The 13,099-nt window shown below is 35.0% G+C and overlaps 1 long non-coding RNA gene across 1 annotated transcript in view; it reads left to right on the forward strand.

Moving 5' to 3' along the window:
* Nucleotides 1-463: 463 nt before the first annotated feature.
* LINC02770 (long intergenic non-protein coding RNA 2770) overlaps nucleotides 464-13,099 on the forward strand; it is a 278,575-nt gene continuing 265,939 nt past the window's right edge. The window contains exon 1 of the long non-coding RNA NR_186758.1: nucleotides 464-688. This is a non-coding gene — a long non-coding RNA (long intergenic non-protein coding RNA 2770). The remainder of the gene's footprint in view (nucleotides 689-13,099) is intronic.

Raw genomic sequence — 13,099 nt, forward strand, 5'->3', positions numbered from 1 at the left:
AGCTGGGCTCCTGAGTCTGGTGGGGATTTGGAGAGCCTTTATGTCTAGCTAAGGGGTTATAAATGTGTCTAGCTCAAGGTTTGTAAACACACCAATCAGCACCCTGTGTCTAGCTCAGGGTTTGTGAATGCACAAATCGATACTCTGTATCTAGCTAATCTGATGGGGACTTGGAGAACCTTTGTGTCTAGCTCAGGGATTGTAAACGCACCAATCAGCGCCCTGTCAAAACAGACCACTCGGCTCTACTAATCAGCAGGATGTGGGTGGAGCCAGATAAGAGAATAAAAGCAGGCTGCCCCAGCAGTGGCAACCCGCTGGGATCCCCTTACACACTGTGGAAGCTTTGTTCTTTCTCTCTTTGCAATAAATCTTGCTGCTGCTCACTCTTTGGGTCCACACTGCCTTTATGAGCTGTAACACTCACCGCGAAGGTCTGCAACTTCACTCCTGACGCCAGCGAGACCACGAACCCACCGGGAGGAGCAACAACTCCAGATGCGCCGCGTTAAGAGCTGTAACACTCCCCGCGAAGGTCCCCAGCTTCACTCCTGAGCCAGCGAGACCACGAACCCACCAGAAGGAAGAAACTCCGAACACATCCAAACATCAGAAGGAACAAACTCTGGACACGCCGCCTTTAAGAACTGTAACACTCACTGCGAGGGTCCGCGGCTTCATTCTTGAGGTCAGTGAAACCAAGAACCCACCAATTACGGACACAGTAACATTGCTAATTACTACAGAATATACTGATATTAAGTGAATAAAAGGGAATATTATGAACAAATTTATCCCCATAAATTCAACTCAGATGAAATGAATCAATTCCTTAAAAAATAAAAATCATCAAAGCTCTCTCCTGAATAAATATATTCCCTGAGTAACACTATCTCTATTAAGGGAATTGCAATTATAATAAACAACAAAAACTTTCCCTAAAAAAATTCCTTGTACAGATTGCAGATGGCTTCACTGATTAATTTTGTCACACTTAAAGCCTAACACCAATTCCACAAAAACTCTCCCAGTAAACAAAAATATCTTTCTGAGTATTGTACCTGATGTCCCATGTATTAAGGTATCTCTTCTTCCTGGCTGATGAGTACATAGTATCTCTAAGCCACGTGTGAGCTTTGGTAATTGTTTGGTCTGCTGGTTTTTGATGATTCTTTTCCTAGCCCTGTGGAGGTTCCCACCATGGATGTTCAGGTGCATGCTTAGCCAGAAATGTGAAGGGTACCTCTACAGATCTGTAAAATTCTCTTTACTGCTTCCTTCTACTCAAACTAGACTTGCAATCTCTGACTCCATAACTCAGCAGGACTTTGAGACTTCCCTTTAAGTTCTTCCTCCTTCCACTATGTCTTGGAACCTACTTCCAGCCAGAGCACTAGAGCTATTAGGGACTTACCCTAGCTGATTTTTCTTTCCTCAGAGATCACAGCCCTTATGGAGCCTATTGTACAATGTCTGAAAGAGTGTTGTTTTGAAATATTTTCTCTGCTTTTCTAGTTTACAGTAGGAGTTCAATTTCTATAACAGTTAATGCTTCATGGGCCAAAGCAGAAATTTCATTAAGTTTTAAGAAATTAAGGTTGGGGAGTCAAGAACCATGACAAAGGTACATTAGCCTTTTATTTAGGTTGTCATGGATTTAAGAGACCACTTTTGAGAGATAATTTAGTCTCAAAGTTCTAGAGAATGATATTCTCTAGAGATGCTATTCATTGAGTAATGAGGAAAGCCCATGTTAAAGCTGAACTTATCGGGTAAGGCTATACTGAAAGCCATCCAAATGCTTTAACTAGACTACACAATTTCTGAATTTTAAATATTTCTGTAAATCTATTAAAATATACAATTAGAGACTTAATAAACAGGCTAAATGAATTTTGTACTGATGGAATATCTATCATATGGATGTTTATTTTATAGTAAAATAATTTTAATTATAAAAATAATAACAAATATTCAACTAAAGGAATAGACATCACAGCTATTTTCAAATATGTTATAGCAGGAGGTTCTATATATTTTATTATATCCTAGATTGAAACTACTTTAAAAGGTAAAGTATAAATAGAAGCTTTTTAAGGGTAGTGTTCTCACAGCACCAATTTTGTAAGCATTTTATATCCATTGTACTGACTGAGTTGCACTGTTTTAGTATTCAGAGCTGTAAGTTTTATTCTATTTATCTTCCTGAGAAAATTCTCTGTGCTAAATGGCTTTTACATATAGCCCTAAGTTAGAAACAGCAGTTATAAATACTATCAGTCACAAGGAGTACAAAGAGCCTTCCTTTCTACAAGAATGCCATCTTGGGATCACTTACTATTAGGAACAAAGAATCTTTATATAACATTTGGAAGTACCTAGCCACAGAATGATCTTAATTCAACTCATTCCTATCTATCTACCTATCTATTGATCAACTTATTTATCTATCTACCTTTTTATATATGTACATCATTTTTTCTGGAGTATTTAATAGCATACCCTATATATTGTACAATTCCACCTACAACATTTTAGTGTGTGTTTCTAGTAGATATATATATTTTTTCAAAATAGAAACCACAGTACCATTTTCACACCTTGCAAAAATAAACAATTTTTAATATAATCTGATATTTCTCTAATTATGTATTAAAATACTATTTTCAGTTCTTTAATAAAATAAAGTCGATTTATGGCATTTGTTGATTTTTTTCAAAGTCACTTTTAATCTCTAACAGTGTTCACATTTGGTGGGGTGCAGGGGTTCAGACCCTTGCTTTAATAATATAAAAAATATCTAAAATCACTGCACTGCAGTACCTAAAAACCTTTGTTGTTATTTTTATTTTTTATCGTTTGAAATTCCTTCAGTGAGAAAAAGCTGTATGTATTTAATTTATATATGTCCACAAATTTGGGGATAGGTATACCTCTGTGAATCCATCAGAACTATCAAGGCCACAAATATATCCATCATCTCCCAGTGTTTCGTCCAACCCTACTTATTACTATTATTATTATTTCATTATTTTGTATGTGTGCATGAATGTGTGTGTATTAGGAACACTTAACATAAGATCTACACTCTCAGCAATTATTAAGTATACAATACACTATTGCTGGCAATATGCAGTTTGCAGTATACTAGTTGTCCAGAACTAATCTGGCATAGCTGAAACTGTTTACACTTTAGCCATCACTCCCCAATTTCTTCCTGCCTCATCTAGCAACCACCATTCTACTCTCTACATCTATGAATTGGACTATTTTAGATTCTACATATAAATGAGATATTTATTTGTCTTTCTGTGTCTGGCTTATTTCACATAACATACTGCCCTCTGGGTACACCCATGTTGTCACAAATGGCTGGATTTCCTTCTATTTTTAAAGGCTGAATAATATTCCACTCTAGGCATATACTGCAACTATTTATTCATTAATTCTTTGGTGGACACTTCGATTGTTTCTATGACTTGGCTGTTGGGAATAATGCTGCAATGAACATAGTAGTGCAGATATATCTTTGATTCTGATTTTGATTCCTTTGGGTATATACCTGGCAGTGGGGTTACTGGATCATGTGGTCATTCTACTTTTAGTTTTTTGATGACCTTCCATACTGTTTTCCATAGCTTCTACACCATTTTACATTCCTACCAACAGTGTTCAAGCGTTTCCTTTTGCCCACACCCTCCCTAATACTTGTTATCTTTTGTTTTTGTAGGAATAGCCACCCAATCAAGTGTGAGGTAATATCTAATTCTGGTTTTAATTTGAGTATCTCAAATGATTAAAATTTTGAGCAACGTTTAATATACCTATTGAAACTTATATGTCTTTTTTTGGAGAAATGTCTATTAGGTTCTTCGCCCAAATTTTAATTGGTTTATTTGATTTGCATACTTAACTATTGAGTTGTAGGAGTTTCTTATACATTTTAGATATTAACCCCTTATCAGATATATGGTTTGCAAATATGTTCTCCTATTCCATAAGTTGCCTTTTTATTTTGTTGATTGTTTTCTTTGCTATGGAGAATTTTTTGTTTGTTAGTTTGTTTGTTTTTAGTTTAATGTAGTCCCATGTGTTTATTCCTGCTTTTGTTGCCTATGCTTTTGGTTTCATATCCAAAAAAAATCATTGCCAATGCCATTGTCAAGGAGCTTACTTCCTACATTGCCTTTTGGAAGTTTTATTGTTTCAAGTTTTAAAATAATTCTTTAATTCTTTTGAGCCGATTTTTGTGTATGACATATAATAAGGGTCCAATTTAATTCTTTTGCTTGGGGCTATTCAGTTTTCCTAACACCATTTTTGAAAAGACTATTCTTTTCCAGTCGTGTATTCTTGGTGCATTGTCAAGAATGTGTTGACTGTATTTCCGGGCTCTCTATTCTGTTCTGTTGGTTGATATATTTGCTTTTATACTACTACCATACTGTTTTGAATACTACAATGTTGTAACATAATTTGAAATCAGGGAATGTGGTGCCTCCAGACCTGTTCTTGCTTAAGATTGCTTTGGCTATTTGGGATCTTGCATATTTCCACATGAATTTTAGAATTGCCCTTTCTATTTCTGTAAAATTGCTGTTAGAATTTTGATGGGGAATGCATAGATTTCTAATAGCATTCTCTTTTAAAGACATTTATATTTTGCAGGAACTTCCCTATAGGATTTTCCACATTCTAGATTTGACTGACTATATCTTCATAGTGTTTGCCAAACAGATTCTTCTATCTATAATATTTTTCAAAAACTGCTATGACTCACAGATCTAAAGGCTTGATGGGATTCAGAAAAGTAATATTTATAAAAATAATATTTATAACAATGTTATAAAATTCCGTTCAATTCATCACCCTAAAAGACACTCAGTACTCGCCACATAATGAATTTCTGAGCCTTGAGAAAGAGAAACAATACTTATCTAGTTGGCTTCATGGGTAATCAGGTATTGTAGATGTCAACAATAATAACCACAGCAATAGCAAAATCTTATCCCAAATTTCTAAACTGGTGATTTAGCTTTAACATATTTAAATTAAAAATGTAGATAAAATATGTGTGCTTCAGCTAGTACTCAACATTAAACAAGATACAACCTCATTACCATCCCTAGAGTCACATGATACTCATTTAGTTTTTTCTATTAGCATAATACTTTGACTATAAAATCTATATATTTAATAAAGAATCATTTTATAATGCATGCTATAAAAGAATCCTCAAGTATTAGTTGTAAATTTAATCTCAAATATTTTAATCTTGACTTCCACCTGATTAAACATTCACACTGTTGAATTTGAAAAATATTCCAACTATTGTGTATGGCACTATCACACTATGAGAGAGCAAAGAATGTGGTGATCTCTTTCTCCAAAGACCTTATTATCCAATGTGTGAATATGCATGTGGCAGTGAGTATGTATATTATGTAGAGTGAAAAGAACTAATTGTCATTAATATGTCAGGCATGATATTAACTGTGTCATAACGTTTGTTCTATTAAAGTGAAATCTTAAGAGGGTATTATATCATATTTATAATATATAAAATGAAAAATCAGTAAAGATATTTTCCCCAAGTACTGAGATCTAGTAAAGTATGAACTTGGAATATGACCCTGGTATGTGATTCCAAAATCCATAGTATTTCACCTGTATCATGCTATCTTACGAGGTAATGCTTGACAGTCTTATTATATACACATATATACATACATGTTTATATTTGCATATGCAATTATATATACAACTATACTATGTTATATATGACTAAATACCACTAGGAGTAGCTCAAATATTTACCTTTGGTAGAAATCAGGCAGGTCATATGAATGCCTAGGAAAGGAAACAGGAAAAAATCTTTACCCTGCAAGATCAAGTTATTCATTTAACAAATACTTACCAAGAGCTTTAATTGGACAGGCTTCATTCCAGAAACTTGATGTATATACTAGAGGGAAGGTTGGCAAGAGTTCTCTTCTCCTCCTATTCATTTATACAAAACAAGCAAGAGTGTAACAAATTGAGTAGAAGTATAGGTTCAGGCAAGAGAAAGAACATTAAATGAGGACAGCAATAGTGGTCATTTAGAGCAGCTTCAGAGGTTTTGAAGAGGATGGCTAGTCTACAGTGAAGGTATATTACTGGGAGAAGTAGAGGAATATTAATAGTACATTATGCAAGGGATAAAGGTGGGGAGTAGGTTAGGAGAAATGAAATGCATACAGAAATTTGGCTTAATGTTTTAGTCATGAAAGCTCTCATGGGACCACCACTTGCACATTTTCTCTCCGCGCAAAAGTACACTGGGAAGTCTCCACACTTACACAGTTCAAAGAAAGAATTTTGAGATATTAATCTTTGTTTTTTTCACATTCACTTATGCAGAGAATTAGACTTGTGAGAGCAGGAATTTAATGTAAAAGAAAGGTAATATTTTACTTTTGACTTCCAAAACAGACTCTTGAATCCTCTATAAAAATAAAAAATTGTGAGTCCATTTTTGTTTTGTTTGGTAAAAATAAGATATGCTTTAGAGCATAAGATTCTTTATAAAAGGGCAGAATTTAAATGTTTAACAAAATATTACAAAGAAATGAGAGGAAAACTGACGCAGACCCACCCTCTCTGGACAAAGTTTATGTGATCAGGAGGAGAGGGGGAAACTGAATGGGGTGTGAATATATAAAAAGTAGGAAGGGGCTAAGACAAGGAAACTGGGACAGGAGATCATAATAGAGAAAATTTGAGGAAATTGATGTGAAAAACTGTGCACAGCAAAATCTGTCCAACTATATGCAGCATTCGTGTATCAAAGTCAGTATAAAGGCAGGGCCCAGAACCAGGTACTATGTACCACCAGGTCAAGGCACCTACGTGGGAGACAAGCTGATGATGGCAGTCACTATCACCATTCCAATGACCATCACACATTACCTGTGCTAACATTAACTATGTTCACTACTGTTTGATGAGACATTTCTATGTTGTTCCTAAGTATCATCAGAGGAATTGTCCTGCAGAGGTGAAATCTACTCATGCCTGGAGACTTAGCTGAGATTAAGTGAACTTCTCCAAGTGGAAATTCTCTTCTCAGTGGTCTCTCAGCCTTGTAAAAGTGTGTAGGTTCCATGACACTCAGTGAAGTTCTGGTTGTAAGGGAAGGAAAGGTCTCTGGTAGTCCCTGCTTTTAGGTAATACTGGTCAGCCCTGAAACCCACTCCAGTTACAAATGTCAATCAGTCACTGTCTGGCCAGTCTGTCACTGCCCACTGACCTTTATGTATCCCCATTCACCTCTTCTGTTCCACACAGAACTGGGTCTCACACCCTACAAATTGACGCATATATTTTCTTTATTTTTAGGAACAGAAAGCCACTGTTTTCAATAAAATGACAATCTGAGTTACACTAATTTCACTTACCTCTGATACTGAAAATCCTGCCTGTCCTCACTTGACTCCCATGATGAATGATTTGTCAGTCACAGGAATGGTAATAATTAATAAAATTTATGATGTCATCGAGGTCTGAGAATATTAAGTGGCAGTTGGTAGAAATAAGTAATAACATACATTGACAAATCCAAAATCAAAAGTTAGAGGTAAAATTCTGTCACTATTAATATTTCTGTATTGCATATGAGCAGGCTGATTGATAATATTGTTTCAGACTATAAATTAAGGTGCATGCTTTTTATATAACTCAGTCCCCCACTCTTAATGAGGGAACACCTGGTGAACTGAAGCAATAAATCACTAAAACCGAGATGATTTTCATCTCAGGAGATTGTTGTACAGCACAGAACATTAACTACAGCTACTAAGGAGAGAAAGACAAATGTCCATCAAACTCTCAGATGAGAATAATTACCAGGATTGGCAGGTATGAACTCAAAGAGAAAAGGTGTTGTAGAATCTTTTTTTTTTCCCTCGTCATAGACAGGAGCCAGAGGAAAAGTCATACCTGGTCTTACTGTTTTACCTGGAATCTGTGTAGCAAAAAGTTCAATGGCTACGTGTGTACTTCTGTTAATACAATTTAGCTTAGAATTTATGAATAAGATTTTGGAGTTTGGTAAACCAAAGTTTTGATCTAGGGTCCACCACTAAACTTTGTGCAATGTAATGGACATTTGTTTACCCACTGATCAAACATCCCGTTCCTTTCTTGATAAGCGAATCTCAATTCTTTCAATACAGTTGGATGCCATATCAGCCCCAGTCCTCTAAAAGCAGAGCCTGAGACAAAGTTAAATTATAATTACTGGAGACATGCTAGTCAGGGAAGTAAGTATGAGGACAAAAAGGAAGTGAGGCAAGGAAAGATCAAAAGTTCAAAAGCTATTCAACATTTTGCCAGCAGTGATTACCGCTTCACAAGAAGCTATGGAGGGATACAACAGGTGTAAAATGCATTTGAGGATTTCTTCAGTAAATTGACAAGAAGAAATAACCTCAGAGCAGTTCACTGTAGGCAGAAGAAGGAGGATTTGTCTTTTTGATTCTCTCCTAACTTCCTTTTCTTATCTTTTACTGGCTAAAGTTTACCTCATGGAGCGCTAAATCCTCCATGTCTCTGGGTTTGTCTAGAGGCTTCCCAGCAGCTGCTCTGGAAGCCAGACCTCATATTTCCTCATAATCTGAAAGTGGAAGTGTGACAGGAAGGGAATAGGGCACTGACCAAGAGAAAGAAAGAAGGTGGATGAGGGAATCTGAGAAAGTGCAGAGGGTTTTTTCGATACTGTGACATTGTGTCAAACCCCAGTAAATGGTCCATGGCTAAATTAGGGTTGGGGTAAGTCATTTGTAATAGTTCCCTTAACATTTGCTGGTGATTGGGTTAGGATTAAACAAGCCATCTTCTTTTGTAAGACTCTGTTAGGAGTGTTCTGAAAATTTTTTTCGTTTTCATTTGAAAGGAACTGTGACCAAGAAGTACCTATACTATTCTGTCTTTATTTTTGAATGCTATATTGGACCAAATCTAGAATGTATGAGAGTGGGTGTGGCATCATGTTTAAGGACAAGAGATCTAGAAATTTGGTTCAGATCCTGTTTTGCCATGTACTACGACTCAAAAAACTTGCTTAACCTATCTGTGCATGATTTTCCTCATCTGTAAACTAATAGTGACAATAGAAGCTATCTCATAATATTATAATGAAGATTCAATGAGTCAATATATAAACTGTTTAGAATGTAGTGAGTGCTGAGAATTATATATTTTATTATATAGATATACTCTCTAATTTGGTGTTTATTGGTGCAACTTAATTTACTTCATTGAATATTATGTATATTATTCATCGGTAGGAAGATCTGTGAGGGATCTCAGATGTTAGTGCTCATAATATGAGACACTAATGAGTAATCCAAAATACCTGGGAAGAATGAATTTACCTGTAAAAGTAAGCAGTTTATTATCTATTGTCTGAAAAGAGAAGGGCAGCAATATTTAAAGCATTTTGAGTCTCTTGGAAGAAAGAGGGCTTATAAATCCAAGTTTTTAATTTTTTTTCTTCTTTTGCTGTTATTGGTTGATTGGTAGCTTTTTGAAAAGGAATCTGCTCCTCTCTGAACTCACATTTCCTCACTAAAATTCATATCCTAATGAAAAATATTGCTAAATGTTACCTATCTGAATCATCCCATCATCCCTAATGCTAGTGTCCTATTTATCCATGTTCGACATTTCAATATTTCTGTTGATTTCTGTCTTGAGTAAAGTTCTTAGGAAATAAGTTATTTTATTCATCTATTTATTCTCCCTTTAGCTTTCTGCCTTTTATTCTGTGTCTTCAATTTTATCAAGACTATAGCTTATTCATATTTCAGTATTTTCACCTAAATTCTTATATTAAATTTCATCTCATATTATAAAAATAGAACTGAATAGTTTCCTACTACATACTTTGTTCTTTCATAAAAAAATACACATCCTTTTTTAATGGCATAGATACGTATCAGTCTGCCTACTGCTGTCCTCTTTCATTATCTTTTAATGCTAGGAGGAATGTATTCTAATATCAACTATCATTACCACTGTAAAAAAAAATAATTCTCTATTCATTCTGAGAGGATTCTTTCTTAAAAGAATGCCTTGAATATTACTTATTACCAAGACACGTTGGGAAGCCACATACTTTTTAATGGATTTTCTCTTCCAATCAACATTTTTCAAGAGGGCACTTCCTTTTGATAAAGGAAAAACTCCATCTGCAAGTTAAGATGTTTAAGCTAGTTGTAACACTGTGGTACAATCTTTTGTGATGATTCAGGTGATTAATTATATGATTGCAGCTTTTAAGAAGAAATGTGGGTCTTGAAAGTTTATTTGACACTTTGTTTTACCTTAATAAAGAAACTATAATTGTTGAGATTTCAAGGGAAAATGTACGAGATTTGTTTGATTTGCTTGTTCATAAGATGACCAAGCATTTACTTCTGTGCATTATGATTCTGAGCTTTTGTGTCTAATTATAAACTGTGAATAATCAATGAGAGTGCCGACTGAACTTCAGGGAAATTATAAATAGGCATTGTAACATGCATTATTACTCTAAAGCAGTTAAGTAGAGGGAGTAGGAGCCTCTTAGGAGGATTTGGGTTACATGATTCAACTATTATTTTTTGTTACATAATATCTATCTCTACAAATTTTGTAATCTGCTTTGAGTCTTTCCAGATCATTTTTTCTCATCTTGTCAACATAGTTATTGTACTAATTTTTGACAGTTCATTTCAGAGCAATTAATTATTCTTCTCAATAATCTTTCCAGGGGCTATAGGTTCCCTGCAAAAGCTTATTATCCCCCCATGGACCTTTAGGGAAATACCTTTACTCTAGCAGACATTACATTGTTCCTTTCTTTAAAATCTGCCCTCCCTATAGCTCAAAAGCAAGAACTCTTTATATTCACCTATATAGCATTGGGTCATGTATGTAATTTTAAGAAATGTTATGGAAAATGGCAGAGTACCAGAGCAAAATTATTTAAACAAAAAGGGTAGTGTATTGATTTTCATAAGTGAAAGTTCCAGGGGTATGTATGATTTGAGTTGCACACTGGGATCAAGTGTGCAGAATGATTTTCTTAAATTATTATTTTTATCTATCCCCCCCCACCCCATTTTATTCTGAAGCAAGCATGGTCCTGAGGTTTACATTTCCCCGGGTTTAACTCTGACTTGCTTGGGCTCACCTAGAGGCAATAAAAATCTCCCATCTCAGTTATTTAAACAAAATTCTTATAGTTTGTCTTTAATGTGGACAAAAGCTTATAATGAGCACTCAGTGTGGCCAAGGCCATGAGAGACACTGAATGGTTTTTAGCACAGTTCCAATGATCTCTCTTGGAACATCTAGTTGAGTCACTTGAGCTCTATTAGACTTCTTAATTGTGGTTCAAATAATCTATTCCTGCTACATTAAGCAGTTAGGAGTTTATTTGACATTAGTGAGAAGATTATAAAATTTTGATAAAGCTCTAGGGTGAGCTTCCCAGAATGATTCAAGAATTTTACTACAACAGCATTCTAGCAAGAGTGCTGACACTGCTGGCAATACTGAAACTAAGTTCCCTCTGCTTCAGTCAGGAGCTGCCACCTCCCATCCATCCCAGAACTGCATCTTCTCTGCTGCTACCTCCACTCAATACAATGGGTGTCATGCACACTGCTATCTCCTCACTTGGCCAGTTTCTAAATATCAATCTCAAGCAGGTACATTTGACTGATGGCAATTAAATTGCATGTCTTCCTATGAGCATATAGGGGTGATTATAAAAATAGCTGTTTGGTTATTATCTTAGTCTGTGCTATTAAAATGAACATCTGAGACAGGGTAACTTATAATTAACAGAAATCTATTGGTTCACAGTTTTGGAGGCTAAGAAGTTCAACATCAAAGGGCCAGTATCTTTTGAAGACCTTCTTGCCTTGTCTTCACATGGTGGAAGGCAAAAAGTCAAGAGAGCAAGAGAGAGCCAAACTTACTCTTTTCAAATGTCACCAATTCCACTCATGAGAGTAGAGTCCTATTAAAGGTCCCACCTTTTAATATTGTTACAATGGCAACTAAATTTTAATGTGAGTATGGGAGGAAAAAAATTCAAATCATAGCAGTTATAAACCGAGAAGGTAGAATGAATGTTTAAAAGAAATATTGAGTTGTTTAGAGGGTATTAAGAGATTTAGGACAATTGTGAGTTGCACATGTGCATCTTTACCCAAACATATGGACTGCTATTGAGGAAAACTTATAGCCTAAGGAAAAGCATGCTCTTTTTATCTCTTTTTGTGTGTGTGTGTTGGAGTTGGGTGGGGGTCACCAGTGAATGAATGGTAAACAAAATTGTAGGCAAGAATAATAAAGGCATACTTCATTATCTCAGTGCTTGACCTGAAGTAAATATACAAAGAAATATGTATTAGTTGAATAAATAAATAAAACCTTTTCAAAATAAAACTGCATATATTATATATACAAAACAATATCAGATGTTTCTGCATATGGCTTAAGAGCACAGAATAAGACACAAAGAACTGACATATTGACATAAATTATGACAACATCAGCAGTACAGAAAGGGAATATTTTTGGGCCATTATCTGCATGTTTAAACATGAAGGATATATAGCATATTTAAATCAACTCAAAATTTTCATAATGATTCCAAAATGTCAAATTTTAAAATACAATTATTTCCAAGGTCATTTAATAGAAAAAATCATCTGTTTTATGAATTTAAAGAAATCAGTAAACTCATTTAATACAATTAAAATCTAGATCCTTAATGTACAAATATCCATTTATAATTTGCCCCAGTGTAGACAGCCATAATTTTGAGCACATTCTGATTTCTTGAACTCTAAAATTACAGCAGACTTCATGCTCCAACCTTTCAATTTACCACCAGAAGCAAAATTACTAATAAAAAGTCAGAGACAAATTGACATCCTTAAGGACAAAAATTGCTTGGAAAGGACTGTCACTTAGTTCTGTCATGAAACCTCTTTTTTTCTTGCATTATTCCTGAGTAGTAACGTTGAAATAGGGTCCCTGGGAAAGAGGACATGATGAA

The sequence above is a fragment of the Homo sapiens genome, chromosome 1 (assembly GCF_000001405.40).
Source record: "Homo sapiens chromosome 1, GRCh38.p14 Primary Assembly".
Lineage (NCBI taxonomy): Eukaryota > Metazoa > Chordata > Mammalia > Primates > Hominidae > Homo > Homo sapiens.